Source organism: Homo sapiens, chromosome 22 (assembly GCF_000001405.40).
Source record: "Homo sapiens chromosome 22, GRCh38.p14 Primary Assembly".
In the NCBI taxonomy this organism is placed as follows: domain Eukaryota; kingdom Metazoa; phylum Chordata; class Mammalia; order Primates; family Hominidae; genus Homo; species Homo sapiens.
Genome location: NC_000022.11, coordinates 44,931,195 through 44,947,962, shown reverse-complemented (window position 1 = coordinate 44,947,962; position 16,768 = coordinate 44,931,195). Strand labels below are relative to the sequence as shown.

The 16,768-nt window shown below is 56.2% G+C and overlaps 1 protein-coding gene across 9 annotated transcripts in view, besides 4 other annotated features; it reads left to right on the top strand.

The window, feature by feature from the left end:
- PHF21B (PHD finger protein 21B) overlaps window positions 1–16,768 on the top strand; it is a 128,844-nt gene that overhangs the window by 62,043 nt on the left and 50,033 nt on the right. For 2 of the 9 annotated variants that reach the window (XM_047441109.1, NM_001284296.2), the window contains exon 3: window positions 14,445–14,490. The exons of the other annotated variants lie outside the window; for them this stretch is intronic. The gene's annotated coding sequence lies outside the window, so the exon portion shown is untranslated. The remainder of the gene's footprint in view (window positions 1–14,444; window positions 14,491–16,768) is intronic. 9 annotated transcript variants of the gene reach the window in all.
- Window positions 2,637–3,564: an enhancer, noted in NCBI's record as "H3K4me1 hESC enhancer chr22:45340279-45341206 (GRCh37/hg19 assembly coordinates)". NCBI's record gives its function as "activates a minimal SCP1, AML or CMV promoter by ChIP-STARR-seq in naive H9 embryonic stem cells {active_cell/tissue: H9 hESC(naive)}" and the evidence as "EXISTENCE:reporter gene assay evidence [ECO:0000049][PMID:30033119]".
- Window positions 4,491–5,418: an enhancer, noted in NCBI's record as "H3K4me1 hESC enhancer chr22:45338425-45339352 (GRCh37/hg19 assembly coordinates)". NCBI's record gives its function as "activates a minimal SCP1, AML or CMV promoter by ChIP-STARR-seq in naive H9 embryonic stem cells {active_cell/tissue: H9 hESC(naive)}" and the evidence as "EXISTENCE:reporter gene assay evidence [ECO:0000049][PMID:30033119]".
- Window positions 8,200–9,127: an enhancer, noted in NCBI's record as "H3K4me1 hESC enhancer chr22:45334716-45335643 (GRCh37/hg19 assembly coordinates)". NCBI's record gives its function as "activates a minimal SCP1, AML or CMV promoter by ChIP-STARR-seq in primed H9 embryonic stem cells {active_cell/tissue: H9 hESC(primed)}" and the evidence as "EXISTENCE:reporter gene assay evidence [ECO:0000049][PMID:30033119]".
- Window positions 15,225–15,726: an enhancer, noted in NCBI's record as "H3K4me1 hESC enhancer chr22:45328117-45328618 (GRCh37/hg19 assembly coordinates)". NCBI's record gives its function as "activates a minimal SCP1, AML or CMV promoter by ChIP-STARR-seq in naive H9 embryonic stem cells {active_cell/tissue: H9 hESC(naive)}" and the evidence as "EXISTENCE:reporter gene assay evidence [ECO:0000049][PMID:30033119]".

Below are 16,768 nucleotides of genomic sequence, written 5' to 3'. Positions count from 1 at the left end.
CCTGTGCTCTGGATCCTGAACTCAGCGGTCATTGTCTGGGTGTGGATGCAGGAGGAGTTCCTCCAGCTGTACCCTTAAGACCTGCGCACATCGCTGTTTGTAAGTCGTATCTGGATAAGTAAAAAAGAAAAGGAAGCACACCAAGCAGAGCCGAAGTGACAAACTGAAACATATCTGAGCTTCCGGGAGCCAGGGCCACACCCTGGTCATCAGCCCTGTGCTTGGAGACCCAGACTCCACCTGACCCCTATCCTCAGGCCTTTCATGGATGGCAGTGGCAAGAGCAGGTACGAAAGCAGAATTCACACTCTGGTCCCCACAGGGTCCGCGTGGAAGGTGTGACATGACAGAGAGGCAGAATTTGGTGCCTGTGCTGCCGAGCGGGGCTGCGGTGAGTGCTCTGGGCCCAGCCTGTCCCAGGAGATGCACCCAGCACACCTGGAGGGCCCAGAGCCCTTCCCTCTGCCAGGCCATTCATGGGAGCTGCGTGGCTGAGAGGTTCTATAGGGCAGGGGGCTGGGCCCTGGCGCTGGCCAGGATTTAAGGCCCAGCGGGCACTTCCTAAGTTAGCATCCATGGCTGTCAGTCACCTGCCCATGCGTCGGTCTGCTTAAAAACAAAGGCAGCAGAGCCCTGCCTTGCGAGATCATTTTAAATGAGATCATGAACGTGAACAGAATGCTTGGTGCCGAGTAGGTGCTCAGAATGGCAACACACAGACTGGAGGCAGCCCTTCCAGAAGCACTGAGAATAGCAGGGCCAAGGGTGGGGGCGGGGATCTTGCCTGGGGACTGGGACAGCTCAGCCTGCAAGGCCAGGCTTCTCATGGGGAAGGGCTCTGCCACCCACGCAGTGCGTGATCTTGGACCACTTGCTTAACTCCAGTGTGCCTTGGTTTTCTCACGTTTAACAGGGGATGAATAACAGGACCTCCTGGTGGCATTGTCATTGGGCTTCAGTGATGCCAATTGGCCGCAGCCCCCTTAAACGGAGCATCTGCTTGGCCAGCCTCTATCCTGTGCCCCGTTTCCAGGTCCTGCAGAGTCACCAGAGGCCCTGCTACCCTCCATCCTTCTGTGGCAGGTGGCTGAGCTAGCAGGGGCCTCCACAGTGTCACCAAAGGTTCCCCAGCCACAGGCTTCTGTCTTCCCTGCCATGTTCATGGCCTTGGGCTGGGGTGGGGAGTGTGGTGTGCAGCCCCTGCAACCTGGAATATTTTCAGCCCCTGGAATCCTGAGCATCCCCCTGAGATGGAACATGAGGCAGGAGAGTCTTCTGCAGGAAGGTGGAATTGATTCTACCCACGCACCGTCCATCCACCCATCCATCCATCCACCCATCCATCCATACAACCACTGTCCATCCATCTACCCGTCCATCCACCCTTCCGTATGTCCACCCACTGTCCATCTACCCTTCCATCCGTCCACCCACCATCCGTCCACCCTTTCATCCATCCATAATAACAGGACTTTCCGTGTTTCCTCTTTCCCATCCCACTCAGTACGTGTACACTGAGCGCCCAGGACGCCAGCACTCTTCGAGACATGACCTACTCCCTACGCTCTGAGAGATGAGAGCCCAGCAGGAGGGATCGAGATTGTAGGCATGTCGGGAGGGCATAGAAGGTGCTGGTAGAGGGCAGAATTGGGGTATCTGGCCTCGTTTGGGGGTGTCAGGGGAAGCTTCTCAGAGATAGGGAGCCTCTCTAGTCTCTGGCATCCCTCCCCACCCCGAGCCCCAGAAGTACGTGGTGCCCCCTCCACTCTCAGCCTGGGCTCTGCCGCAGTGCACCTCCTCTGGGAAGCCTTCCGTGACCACTCTGGCTCCAGCAGGCCTCCCAGCCCCCATGCTTCCCTCCCGCAGGGCCTGACTCTCCCTGATGAGCCGGTGGAGGCCAGGGCGGTGTCCACCTGTGTGTAGTTAGTTCTGGGTGCTTGGCACACTGTAGGAACTTGGTAATTATTTGGGGAGTAAGTGGGTGACTTGGGCAAGAGGCAGGGGACAGAGCGACCCAGGCAGAAGGAACAGCACGGGTGGCCCTGAGGTCATCCTCAGGAGGGGATGGTAGCATCTTCCCCATCTCACTGCCTGGGGCCTGAGGCCCAAAGAGTTCTGGTACCATCTGGGAGGCACTCAGCCCCCTTTGGAGCCCCAGACTCAGGTTCAGGCTGACCCCTCGTGCTTACCCACAGCTTCCTGCCAAGGTCAAGGTAAGCAGGACTGCTTTATACCACCCCCCCCCCAATTCTGCCAACAGTATTTGGGAGGAGACTGGTCAGGTGCTGGAAGATGGCGTTCCTGGGGTTCCCTATCACTCCCTGTCCCCACGATCAGGCCCTTCTGGAGGCACTCATTGCCCTGCAGCCCAGGTGCAGGGGATCTGAGCAGTGTGGGGATTTGGGGCTGGGGCTGGAGCCAGGGAAACAAGCCCCAGCTGTGTGGGCACTGTGCTGGGAAACAGGCCCCGTGCACTCAAGCGCAGGTGATTCTGCAGAAAGCACAAAACCCCATGTACTCTCAATTCCCACCCAAGGATGGGAGGGTCTCAGATTTCTAGGGGCGGCTGCTTGGGAAGCACAGACAAGTGCCTCCCATGCTTCATGTCACTCAGACGGAGTTAAATCGCCCCATTCACAGGGCGCTGGGGGAGCCTGGGTCAGACCCCTGCTGCTCCTACCCAGAGCGAGCCTGTCCGTTCCCACTGGGGAAAGCTAGGTGCCCATGGGCCTCCCAACACGGAGGAGATGGTAACACAGTCACACCTGAGCCAGGTCTTCAGGAAACCCAGGATTTCTGCAGCTTTTTGTGTACTTGGAGGGTTTTCCTGCCATGGTAACCTGAGAAGCAAACCTCGTTTTCACCAGTGATTTAGAGGCAGGAAATTAATACGGGAAACAGGCAAGGAGTGAGTGAGCCGTCGCAAGCACCTTTGAGGTGCAGGCGCAGCCCGGTATGCAGGAATCTCATGTGCTCCTAAGAGGTAAGGATCGCTCTAATTCACAGAGGAGGAAACGAAGGCTCAGGACTGCGGCAGGAAGGCAGGAGTGACCGTCGAGGCCCAGCTCTTGCCTGACTGTGCAGTCGGATGCTTTCCTTCCCCAAGTCCTTCCTTCCAGGCCCCTGACTTCATTAGAGCTTCTGAACCCATGCGATGGGCTGGGCAAAGGGTTTCTTCCTCCATTCACCCATTCACTCACTCATCAGGAGCTCGGTCAGCTTGTTTCTTCCTGGCTCTGGGGATGTTCTCGAATCAGACATTCCCGTTCGAAGGCCAGGACCCCACCATCCACATCTAGCAGATAGAGGAACCAGGATGGGCCAGCGTGGCCCTGTGATGCGTCATTTGCTGGTGGGCAGGCTCAGGAGTGGACTTGGCCTGGCATCTTAGGAAATTCCCAAACTCTGCTGACGCCGGCTGTGGGGTTCCTAATTTGTCCAAATACCGAGGCAATAATACAAACTTGTTATTGATGCAGGGCCTCCAGGTGGCCCTCATTAAGTCTCGATAGCTCCCAGAATCCAGAGGGTGCTTCAGATGACCAGAGAGGAGGAATGGATGGAAACAGACATCAGAGGTGAGCATGCCATAGTGCCCCTCCCAGCACAGGCGTCCAGCTCCTGGGCGGTGGCTCCTGGCACCTTGAGGCCCCAGAAATAAGATGCACGTGGAAAGGAACCTTATTTCCTCCCCGAATTCCCTTGAAAGGACGTGGTTTTCAGCTTCTGCTCAGGGCACCTTTGCCATCAGGGTTCTCATAGCCTGACAACACACGCCATAGGTGGAAGCCACTGGATGCTGGGCGCACAGTCCTTCACTGTCTGCAGAACAGCTGCAGCCTTTACAGATGGAGAAACTGAGGCTTGCGGGGCTCAGCATCTTACCGAAGGTGGAGCAGCAGGAGGGTAGAGGAGGGAGCTGGGTTGAAGCCAGGTTTTCGGACCCCAGGCCCAGCGCTGTTCCTTCCCTCAGGGTCCAAGTGTACTGTTGAGTCCAAAGGGCTGAAGACATTTGACTGAGCAGCTACTGTGCGCCAGGCCTGGGGGTTTTCATCTGCATGAGACCCAGTTGCTAGGAGGAACTCGGAAGCCGGGCCTGGAATGCTGCAGGTGGCTTTTCCCGGTGCCCCACGAGCATGGTGCCAGGGTGCCGCTGGGCTGGATGCTTGGGCTGCTGCCACTTCTTGGACCAAAACTGGTAGAGACTAAGGTGAGAGCTGAGGGTGAGTGTCACACGGCCCAGGAGTCGCTGTCATGTGCCCGGCCACTGAATGTGGACCCCAAACCTGTCCGTCGAAATCTAAACCTGTTTGCTTTACAAAGGGGGTGGGAGTGGGGCACAGCAGTCAAGTATCCCGGTGTGAGCCAGCTGCCAGGACTCTAGAGCCCGCGGGGCCTGGAGGAAGCGTGCAGCTGCCCGTGTCCCCACGAGGAGACGGAGATGTAGCTGAGCCTGCTGGAGATCGGGCCGCCCCCAGCACTAGTGGGGCCTTTCCCAGAGCCCCACATGCTCATCGTTCCCAAACATTCCCTGGTACTTCCCTGGGATCTAGCTCAGATGGGGCTCTGCTCAAAACAAAATAGGGGCTTGGGTTTTTCTGGCCTCCCCGGGCCAGCTCTGTCCTAGGGATTACGGCCCTTCGGGTGTAATCAACCCCCTGTGCTTCTGTGTCCCCGAGCCCCTGGCTGTGCTACTGGGGGACAGGCACAGGGACTGTGTGCTCCTGGGGACGGGCTCAGGGACTACAGGCAGCTCTTTTCTCCAGGCTTGGGGGAGCGGGTGCTGGCACGAAGGCCACAGGCAGGCAACCCCGGAGCATGTTGGGGAGCAGCGTGGAGGGCATCATGGGCAGGAGGGGCTGGCTTGGGGGGCAGAGGCGGTGCTGAGCAGGATTCAATCCGGATCTTCCATCTACTTTGTGTGCTCTTGGCTTTGGTCAGCCCTTCTGAGGATGGGGGGGGGGGGGTCCCTCCCTGCTGGGGGTCCGCCTGTGGGTCCCTGCCTCAGGCCTGTGTCCTAAGCTCTGAATCCCCCTTTCTTCACTGAGTCACACGCTTCACCCTGGCCCCCAGGAATCAGCCACTCCAGCCCCACCCCATCATAAAGATGGGGAAACTCAGGTCCAGCTGGGGCAAGGGTTTGCTGCTGAACCAACTCCTGCACCCCCGTCCCGGGTGTCCTCCTAGGACTGCCACTCCCAGGGAAGCCTGGGTGGTCCTGCCCTCCACGTGGCTCCCCGACAGCTCGTGCGCTGGGCCTCAGCTCAGGGGCCAGGCTGTGGGTGAGCTGTGGGCACCCTCCTCTGACCGTGTGCCTTGGCTGTGTCCTCAGGGCCACAGACCTCGGTGCCCTGTGTGGGGCAGCTGCTCCTAGGGCAGCCTGGAGCACACATGGGCTCTGCAGTCAGCTGCCTGGGCTGGACTGGCTTCCTCCACCTCCCAGCATTGGCAGGTCACGTTTCCCTGTGTGTTCAGTGGGATGGTAATAGTACCTTTCCACAGAGCTGGGGGGATGAAGTCTGGGACTGACCTAGGGTGGGGTTAGTCAGGAATTGGCGAGATCCCTGCAGTTATTCTCTTGTCCCCGAGCTGTGTGTTCCAGGGTCCTCGGGCAGAGGGTGCCCCCAGGGTCCTACTGTGGATCAGGAATCTGGCAGAGCCCATCGGCTGCCCTCCAGATGGTGCCTGGCACACACTGTCCCGGTGGCCTGGATCTGTGTCCCAGGCCCCCACACCAAGTATGAGATGTTGCAGGCTCTGGATTTTCTGCTCCTGTCCCGAGTCTGGCTGGGAAAAGGGAGAAGGCGGACCCTTTGGTGGTGCTGGGACAAGGGCAGATGCTGAGCCTGGCATCCCAGGCTCTTCTGGCCCCAGACTTGCTGTGCCATGTCAGGCTGTTCTGAGTCCCCAGGGCCGCATTCCCCCCACTGGGCCTCGGGCCATGTCGTGGACTTTTCTTTCAGGGTCCTACTCATTGTCATCTCCTCTGGGAAGTGGCATCTCTGTGGTCTCACAGATGGGGTGGGGGATGGGTCTGTGCCCACTGAACAGGCAGTCCCTGGGAGACGGGGCTGCTTCTGACTCAGTGCTGTGTCCCCTGTACCTGGGGTGGGTGCTGCGTTAGTGAATGAATCAATGGCAGGTGGCCCCCCCAGCCTGTGCCCCTGCCGTCCTCACCTTGGCTGGTCACCATGAGCAGGTCTGTTTCCTGACCAGAATGAAGGCCCTGCCGCCGTATCCCCCTGCCCAGCATCTAGTGGGTGCTCCCGAGCCCACATCGAGGCAGAGGCTTAAAGTGACGGTGGACTCCGTCCACCCCTGCCCCATCCCCCTGCTAACGTGGGAAGTGGGGTTGGTGGCGTCTCACAATTTTGCATTGTGCCCACCACAACGTCAGAGGAACAAAGCGATCCAGCTGGGTTGGGATCTGTGATTTTCAGGTCTTTGTGACCCACCTCCTCCGCCGCTGTTACTCTAAGCAGTGGAGATTAAAACCAGAGCTGAAGTGGCCTCGGGGGAGGAGGAGGAGACTGAGCTTCCTCCTGAGGTGTAGGATTGAGAGGCCGAGTCACAGAGGGACGGACTGGCCTGATCCACTCCGGGGCAAACAGCCCTGGAAGGGCACAGCCCCCGAAGTCCCCGCTGAGAGCTGGTGGTGCGGCATGGCGCGGTGTAGCTTGCAGGAGGTAGCACTGCGTGGACCTCTGGAGGTCTCTGGAATCTCCCTCTGGGTGTTGCTGACTGGGAATCTTCCTCTGGGTGTTGGCTGACTGGTAGCTGGGTGGTCTTGGGCAGGTCACTCAACCTCTGATCCTCCATTTCCTCAGGTTTAAGGGAATGGTCATTGTGAGCACGCGCAGCATTCCTGAGTCCATGACATCAGGACTGCATGGCGCTGCGGGGTGCTGTGGATGTGGGTTGTTACTGTTCACGAATCCCGCTGCTCATGCAGCAAACATTTGTTGAGCCTTTAAAAATTGCAATGAGTTGTAATGTTTAGAAGTTGATTAATGGAAATTAAAATTACATTCCATGAAACGACAGCCCCCCACTCACCTCCACAGCCCCACCCCAAGCTTTGGATGCCTTCACATGAAGAAGGGGGTGTTGGCACCCTTCCCCTGTATCCATCTCACCCACTCCTGCCCACATGGGCCAAGAGTTTGCCTCTAGTCCCTGAGCCTTGTCCAGCTGACCGGGGCTCTGGAAGGTCCCAGCTGTTGGGGTTAGTCTGCCTCTTCCTTCGGCCCCTTCGCCTTCTAGGTGGGGAAGCAGGTGCTTCACAGAAGTCCCTCCCTCCCAGTTATTTTTATTTGTCCACCAAAGTCTGAGAGCAGTGTTCTCTTATCCTCTCCCCATCCTTCCCCACCCAGCACTGTTTCTCTGGGGGCCATTTAGGCAGCCTCTCAGGCGGCCTCCTTCAGCCCCTGGGATCATTCCTGATCCCTTTCAGTTGTCCCTCATAACTTGGGACCCCAAAATCTGAAATTAAAATCCTCCTGCATCCTGTTGGCCCCCGCTGCGCGGTGAAGCCTCATTATTCCGGCTTATTAACAGGAGGACTGCATGGACAAGGGGTGCCTGTGATGGGGCTGGCGGGAGATTAGCAATGCTAATGCTGGTAATTAGGGACGTGGCATTGGCGCTGGGTGCAGGCTTGCTGGTGAATTTAAGGGCCAGATTTCCTGTTAGGAATGTGGGAATAATTAAGGTGGCTGGAGGGTGTGGACAGGCTTGCCCGGAGGCAGGTTCAGGCCCTCTTGCCAAGAGGAGGTGCGGAAAAACTGGTGATCTAAGCCCGTGGCACCTGCCCTGGTGGAGGTGCGGCATCTTAAGCACTTCTGCATTTCACAGATTGCTTTCAGATTGCTTTTTACAGAAGGGGAAACTGAGGCCCAGGGTGGCAGTGGCTTGCCTGAGTCCCCACCCCACTGGCCCCTGGCTGTATTTTGAGGATGGGGACTTTATTGTTGTCCCCACCACCTAACTCTGGGCTTTTTGAGTTTTTGATAGATACATCACTCTTCCTGCTTAAAGCCCAGAGCCCAACCATGTCTTACTCATCCTCACCTCCCTGGGCCTCTGCAACCTCCTCCTGGTCTCCCTGCCTCCGTGGGCAGCCTCTTATTCATCTTGGATTACTGGGCAGCTCCTGGACTGCTGGGCTCCCATCTCTACCCGTCTCCCTCTTCCTCAGACCCACCCTCCTGCAGGTGGCCTTTGCTGCCTTCGGCCCTATCCCTTCGCCCCTCCCTAGCCCTGCTCCCACCCATCCCCTGTGGCCGTGACTTCTCCTGGTCTCCTCGTTGATGCTGGGACAGGACGGGCTGGGTGTCCCACAGTTACCTCCGCCCCATGTCTGGGAACCCTACTTAACTTCCAAGACAGCGCCAGCATCTCCTTCACCCTTTCCTGGTCCCCACTGTGCTCACAGATGCGTTGAGCCCCCTCTGCCGCCCCCACCTGGGAAGCTCGTGGGAGGTCCAGTGGGAGAACCTTGGCATTTGCTCAGTGCGCAGTGCTTCCTGCATTTCATTGAAACTTCGCGGCAACTTTGCAAGGTGACAGGTAAGGCCTCAGGTGGGGACACCAGTCACACATGGCAGTCCTGGGGCAGAGCTCAGACGTGTTCTACCCACAGCCCTCTCTCCTTCTCCACTTACCTAACTGCACCCTGGAGCTTCAGAGTCTCCCCAGCCGTGGGTGAAGGAGCGTCTCCTGCCTCTATGGGTCGTGCAGCTTCCCGCAGTCCCTGGCTCATCACAGCAGCCTGCTTTTGGCTCAGCGGGAGTCTCCCTCTTCCCCAGCCCTGTCTGAGCCGATCTTGAGTTTTCTACTGGAGGCTCCTAAGGGGTCTTGGCAGAAGGCAGGAAGGGCCTGCGCTTGTGCAGCTGCTGCAGATGGTCGGTGCCGGCTCTGAGCTCACGCACTGGAGGCGCCGTGTGTGTGCAGCCCAGCAGCCTGGTGGAGGTTTTGTGAAGTCCTTGGTCTTTTTCAGTCCTCAACCAGCTCCTGCTTTTCTGCAGGTCCAGGTGCTATCAATGCATAGCAGAGAAGCGAGACACGAGTCCTTCCTTAGTGCCTTCCTGGTCATCAGTGAGGCCAGAGTGCATTTATTTCCATAATGGCGCATCCAGATTTCCTGCCCCATATTCAGTGCCACCCAGAACCTGTTCCTGATCCTGGTCCTGGGTCTCCTCCTAGAGATGGCACCTTATTTTTCAGGCCCTCATTGACATAACTATGAATATTGATTCCATTCCAGATGAAGCATCTTAGCCATGCAGCTGCCATAATGAGGGTCTATCAGTGCTGCCCCTGAGAGGGCATAGGTCTGTGCACCAGCTGGGCTCCTCTAGCTGCCCCCTTGGCCCTGCCTTTCTATGAGGGTTGGAGCTGCAGCTCTTGTCCTTCTTAAAATATATAGATTTTTTGGGCGCAGTGGCTCACGCCTGTAGTCCCAGCACTTTGGGAGGCCAAGGCAGGCGGACCACTTGAGATCAGGAGTTGATACCAGCCTGGCCAACATGGAGAAACCCTGTCTCTACTAAAAATACAAAAATCAACCATGCATGATGGCAGGTGCCTGTAATCCCAGCTACTCTGGAGGCTGAGGCATGAGAATGGCTTGAACCTGGGAGGCAGAGGTTGCAGTGAGCCAAGTCCGCGCCACTGCACTCCAGCCTGGGCAAGAGAGTGAGACTCTGTCTCAAAAAAACAAAAAACCAGGCATGGTGGCAGGCATCTGTAATCCCAGCTACTCGGGAGACTGAGGCATGAGAATGGCTTGAACCTGGGAGGTGGAGGTTGCAGTGAGCCGAGATCGAGGTACTACACTCCATCCTGGGTGACACAGCGAGACTCTGTCTCAAAAATAAAATACATAGATTTTTAAAATTTGAGATAAAATTTGCATACATTGAAATTCACAGATTTTGATTGTACTGCTGGATGAGTTTTGACAGTTGTGTACACCCAGGTAACTTATACTCCAAAATAGAGCATTTGCATCACCTCAGAAAATTCTGCACCTGCGCGATGCGTCCCGCAGAGCACCCGCTGTTGAGATTTCATCACCAGGGATTAGTTTTGCTGCTTCTTGAGCCTCATGTCCGGGGAGGCCTGCGGCCTTTGTGTGGGCTCCCTTCGTTCCACGCAGTGCTATGAGGCTCCTCCGTGTCATCGAGAGTATTCGTCATTCTTTCCCTGCGTGTTTCTCAGTGGCATCCCGTGGCGTGGGGGTCCCACAGTAGGTTTGCCCACTCACCAGTTGATGGACATTTGAGTTGTTTTCCCTTTTAAGAGATTATGAATAAAGCTGCTCCGAATTTTCATGCACATGATGTTTTGGGGATACAGGTTTTCATTTCTCTTGTGTAAACACCTAGGAGTGAAATTGCTGGGTCAGAGAGCACAGGTGTGTGTTTAGTTTTGTAAGAAATGACCCAACTATTTTTTGAAGTGTTCGCACTGCCTCCCACTCCTGCAGTGGTTTGTGAGAGACCCGGCTACTCCGTGATGGCCCAGCTCAGCCCACTTGGGTCTCCGTCCTCAGCGGCCTGCACCTGTGCTGAGTGTGCACCTGTGTTCACACCTGGTGGCCGCCTGGCTGTGATGTCTCCGTCTCTGCCCAGCCTTTGAGGCTCCTTTCTCCCTGGAACTTGGTCCTTCAAGGCTTTCTCGTAGTCACTGCTCTTGGGGATGAATAGGATTTTTATTTTGTCTGGGTGTGTTTTGATGTTACCATGGAGTTAAAGTTTTCTCATCCTTCCACTTCTTCAGCAGAAGCGAATGTTCAGCCGGGTGCGGTGGTTCATGCCTGTAATCCCAGCAGTTTGGGAGGCCGAGGCAGTTGGATCACTTGAGGTCAGGAGTTCGAGACCATCCTGGCCAACATGGTGAAACCTCACCTCTACTAAAAATACAAAAAAGTAGCTGGGTGTGGTGGCGGGCACCTGTAATCCCAGCTACTCAGGAGGCTGAGGCAGGACAATCCCGGGAGGTGGAGGTTGCAGTAAGCCGAAATTGCGCCATTGCACTCCAGCCTGGGCAATAAGAGTGAAACTCCATCTCAGGAAAAAAAAAAAAAAAAGAAAGAAAGTGGATGTCCACAACTTTTGTCTTAAATTACAAGTTTCCTGTAGAACAGCATTGTCTAATAAAAGCGCAGTGAGAGCCATATGTGTAAGTTTAAATCTTCTGGTAAGCCACAATAAAAAAAGTAAAAAGAAACAAGTGAAATTAACCTGGGGGGGTGAAAATCATTTTAATAATTATTTTATGTAATCCAATATGTCCAAGATATTATTTCAGCATGTACTTCATTTTTAAAATATTAATTAGATACTTTAATATCTTTTCATGAGTCTTCAAGGTCCCACTTGAAACCCGTCTCAGCTCAGGTTAGCCACTTGCAAGGGCTCACCAGTAACGGATGGCAGGAGGCGGTCCTGTCTCGAGTGGGCAGCGAGGCATCCAGGTGGGATGTCACACGCAGATCTGGAGCTCGAAGGAGAGGGGCTGGGGACAGGAGGCGACAGGGCTGCCGGTATACAGGGAGAGATGAGGGCCACAGGCCAGGAGCCAGCATTTCTGCTGGGCCAGAGAGACAGTCGGCCTGAGGCTGCGGCCTCTCTACAAGGAGCCGCCTTCAGAACCAGGCGGGACCTGCAGCTTCCCCTGTGCCGTCTCCACTGGACATGGCCAGGGAGGAGCACTCCAGGGCTCATGCAGGTGACAAGGCGGACCCCACAGCCCCGTTCCGTAGCTCTCCCGGGAGGGGGCTTGGCCCATTCATCCCAGGAGTGAAGACAGCAGCCGGGTTCTTCAGGACCCTCCAAAAAGATGTTCTCCACGGTATTTGGAGGACAAGGAATGTTTCCGCCTCTCCTAGTACATTTAAGTCAAAATCTAAAGCTTATTTTCAACACGTTATTTGCACAGTTAGAAGTGCTGTTCCTTCTAAAAATACCCCAGCAGAGAGAACAGAATGTGGTGTGTCTCCTGGGCAGCACGGCGTGGCGCCAGGCTCAGCTCTGGGCCCCAGCCCAGAGTGGGTTCGTGCGAGGTTGGAGCTTCCCCGAGGCGGGCAGAGACAGGGCAGAGCCACCCCTTCTTGAGCTGAACACTTTTCTAGTCTCGCTAACTCTGCTCCCCCTGTGAAGCTGGCATCAACATCTCCATCTTACAGATGAGGAAACTGAGGCTCAGGAGGTTAAACAGCTTGAAGTCACAGCTGCAGAAGGCCCTGTTGCCCTCTCCCATGAGACCTGCCAGTTTCTTGGGGCCTCCAAGGTGCCAGGTGTGAGCCATGTGCTTCTGTTTTTTTTTTGTTTGTTTGTTTGTTTTTGAGGCGGAGTCTTGCTCTGTCGCCCAGGCTAGAGTGCAGTGGCTCGATCTCGGCTCACTGCAAGCTCCACCTCCCGGGTTCACGCCATTCTCCTGCCTCAGCCTCCCGAGCAGCTGGGACTACAGGCGCCCGCCACCACGCCCGGCTAATTTTTTGTGTTTTTAGTAGAGACAGGGTTTCACCGTGTTAGCCAGGATGGTCTCGATCTCCTGACCTCGTGATCCGCCCGTCTCAGCCTCGCAAAGTGCTGGGATTACAGGCGTGAGCCACCGCGCCCGGCCATGTGCTTCTGTTTTAACTGTCAGGGCAAACCTGTGTGAACGTTAGTTCTCCCTGTTTACAGAGGAGGGAAACTGGGGCTCGGGGAGTTTGAGTAACTTGTTCAGGGTCTCATAACCCTTAGGTGGCAGGACTGGGGTTTGCTCTCAGATCTTTGGGCTATGTTCCTGAAGCTTCCAGTTAGACGCAGGTCAGAGGGAGTGTGTCGGGGACAGGGGTGACCACTGGACCGATTGCCGTGATCCTTTTTCTCTTGATGAAAGTGAATATACTGCATGAGCGTGTGTGTTTAACCAGCCACAGAGATATCAAAGGCCCTGGGAACTTCTTCTGGAGCAGAGCAGGGACTGTCCTCCTCTCCAAAGCCTAGCGCCACATGTCTTCTCTTCCCACGCTCCTGGAAGGTCTCAGCGAGGGCTGGGACACTTCCCAGGATGGCCTGGTGGGGCCTGCTGAGCTTTCGGTGGGTCTGGAGTTAAGCAGCCAGACCAGGAAAGAGTGAGGACCAGACAGGGACAGGCGATGTGGCCATCCCAGACACTTTGCAGAAGTGGGTGCAGTGGGGACTTTGGACGAATCAGAAGCTTCTGGCTGAGGGGACCTTTAGTTCTTCTAACCCCAGACTCAGGGGACTCCAGGACTCCCTACACCCTCCAGTTATGGGCCCACGTGATGTTACCCTTGGCTTGGAAACTCCTAGAGCCCCAGTGCCTACCTGCAGAGTCGAGACAGCTTAGCTTGATGGGTGTGGTCTGTCCATGTGCTGACACCTGCCCGTTCCCAGATGGACCTGACGCCCTGGCAGGGGAGGGCTCTGTTCCTGACCACGCCATCCTGGTATACCTCTAGACTGTCCCTCTCTGCCTGGGACGATGTTGTCCCTTCTTGGCCTGAAAAAAACTCCTGCTCGTGGAAGTCCCTTCTGTTGGATGTGGACGTCTGTAAGGAGTCTCATTCATGTTTGTTGTGATGATGTCATCGCTCCTCTATGTGCCTGTCTTGTCTTAGGTCGCGTGCGGTGATGGGTGGCTGGGTACCAGGCTGTTCTAACATCCTCACCGCCACGCTCCAGGACAGGGGAAGCAGGTGGGTGAGGTGCAGGTGAGGGCCAGCGGCACCTGAGAGTCAGGAGGAAGTGGCCGATGGGACTCTGAGCCCCGTGCAAAGGCCCCCTGCCTTGTGGCAGCCACCAGGACCACCCACTGGGTCAGCAGTCCCCAGGAGGGGACGGGCTGCCATGCCCACGTCAGAGGAGAGGAAGCAGAGGTCAAGAAGGGCCCCTCTGGTCTTGTGGTTACACATGCCATATATTTTCTTGTTAGTTTTCACCAGGAAGTCCCTCAAACTGCGTGGAAATGCAGCGACTGCTGAGCATGGCAGGATCTCAGTAAATAGACAAGGACGCTTCACGAGTCCATGGCCTGTCTCCTGGGGACTGCCAGAGCCTTCCCTGTGGTTGTGTAAATCATTTGTATTCAGTTACTGTGCCCGGAAAACCCTTCCCTCGCGGTGCAGGGTACACACAGATTCATTCCTCACTTGCTTGGGGCAGTCATGTGTCTGTCTCTCTGTCTCTGTCTCTCTGTCTGTCTGTCTGTCTCTCTCTCTCTCTCTCTCTTATCTGCACGAAGAGCTCCAGATACTCGTCTCCTGGAATGGTGGAGATGAACTAGGCATGGAGGTGCGTGACCAACCTCAGACGGCTCCCCCACCCCACTTAACGCTTACCCCTTCTATGTAGCCGAGACCTTCCCGTGCACTTCCGTTGAGTTGCGGGCAGCACGTTCTGATGCTCACTTCTGGTCTGTTTCCCCAGATCGCGGGCAGAACCTCTCATCTGTGCACAAGGGACCCAGCACGGGGTAGGTGTGCAGTGAACACTTGCTGAGTTTAGTCAGTGCCAATGGCTTCAGGAAATAGAAGAGGCCGAGCGCAGTGGCTCACGCCTGTAATCCCATCACTTTCGGAGGCCGAGGCGGACGGATCCCCTGATGGCGGGAGTTCGAGACCAGCCTGACCAACATGGAGAAACCCTGTCTCTACCAAAAATACAAAATTAGCCAGGCGTGGTGGCACATGCCTGTAATCCCAGCTACTTGGGAGGCTGAGGCAGGAGAATCGCTTGAACCCAGGAGGCAGAAGTTGCAGCAAGCCGAGATGTGCCAGTGCACTCCAGCCTGGGTGACAGAGTGAGACTCCATCTCAAAAAAAAAAAAAAAGAAATAGAAGAGACCTGAAGCTGTTTCCACAGCGGGGCGGGAGCATTTGCCAATCCAACCAGAAGTCTGTCCCCGAGGACAGGACCTGCTCTCCTTGGCGAGTGCCTTGTTAGAATGCGGGGCCCCCTTTGAGGGGCTTGTGGGCACCTCTAGGGTTGCTGGAATGTTCTGTATCTTGGTCTGCACGGTGGTTACTTGGGTGTAGATGTTTGTCAAATCCAGTGAGCTGTGGCCTAAGCTCTGTGCCATTCACTGGAAGTAAAATGGGCCCTTCCTCTGGAGGGCCAGGGGTTGGGGATGGGGTGACTGGGGTCCACCCACCCTTGCATCCCTGCCCACACCAAGGCTAGCTCCAGGAGGCCTCTGCAGAGAGAGGAGCACCTGCTGGGCCGTCATCGGCATTCCGTGGTGCAGGTGCGGAGGTGCACCCTCAGATTCCAGGCCGTCATCAGCGTTCCGTGGTGCACCCTCAGTTAGATCCCAGGCCGTCGGAGGTGGGGATGATGAAGCTGAGGCCAGCGGGACTGTGTGAACCCATCTTTTGTGGGAATTAGATCTTCTCAATGACCGTCTATTTTACAGAGGTCTGGAGGTCAGTGGGGACAGGCAGCTAGAGGCACTACCATCGATTGGATTTTGCTGCTACTGTGATTTGTTTGGAAGACGTGTGCCTGGTGGTGGCGGCCACTCCAGATCCAAGGGCCCAGGTTGGGGGTTCAGGGCCCCCTGGCTAGGAAGGAATAAGGACACTCTGATAGTGGGTGAGCAGTCTGTGACACAGGGACGAGTAAGTACCAACCACTTGTGTTTTTCCTCTTACCTCAGGCTCAAGAGAGGCAGCACCTCTCCTCTCTGGGGTGGGGCATTCGCCCCCCAATCTGCCCTCTCCTGGCAGCCCTTACAGCAAGCCCATGGCCCCTCTTAAAGAACAGATTTTGCTGCATCTTTAGGAAACAGATGAGTAGAGGGAAAACTAACCTCCGGGTCTTCCCAGTGGAGGTTCGAGGCCTCCAGCCTCTGCCCCGGGTCCTCTGTTGAGTGACACGGCCTCACCCACCCTCTCCAAGGCCTCAAGGCTGCGTCTTTCCCTGTGCCCTGCCTTCCTTCCTTCCTGGGGGACGCAGCTTAGAGATGTCCCTCCTGTCCAGCCCCTCCCTGGATTTTGGACATTCCCAGCAGGCTGCTGGCTGTGCCAGTCCTTCTCTGAGAGCAGGGCCCACGGTGGGAGGGATTGCACAGGAGGCTCCTGGTGGGCTCCTGGGCCCCTGGAGTCCAGATCTCTTCCAGATGGTATGTTTTCCAGTTGAGTAGATGCAGAAGTGGCCGTTTTAGCTGGTCTCACGGACACCCTCCACGGCAGAACTAGCGTGACCTCAGAGGCTGCCACTTCCGTGCAGAAGTTTCCAGAATACACCTCTACACATGCACCTGTGGTCACGGGGGACCTCACAACCATTTTTTGACACCCCCCCCCCAAGATCACAACCCCCAATCCTTAGTTCATGATGCCATTCAGAGTGTGTGTTTTTTTGCTAAATAGCATAAAATTACATCCTTTCAACTTAAACAAACTGCTCTGCAACGCCGAGGGCCGCTGAACGGGTGTTTTAAATGTCAGCATACGGTAGCCACTTGTGTTGTCTGGCACTTTTTGATTAAGAGCAGCTGCCTGTAAAGGCCTCTGCGATTGGTTAAGTGGCCCTGGGCAGCCTGCCTCGGCCGGCCTGGCTTTGGTCAGGGTCACCGAGACCGAGCCGGGTGGGAGCCGCCTGCGCCTGGCAGCCGGGCCACAGCGGCCGCATATCTTTGTTCCCGCAGTGCTCTCAGTAAACAGAATTGCCTCGGAGCGAGACATGAGCAGCATTCTGGAGTCAGAACTTTAGAAAGTGACTCTTCGGGTGGTCATGGTGGCTCATGCCTG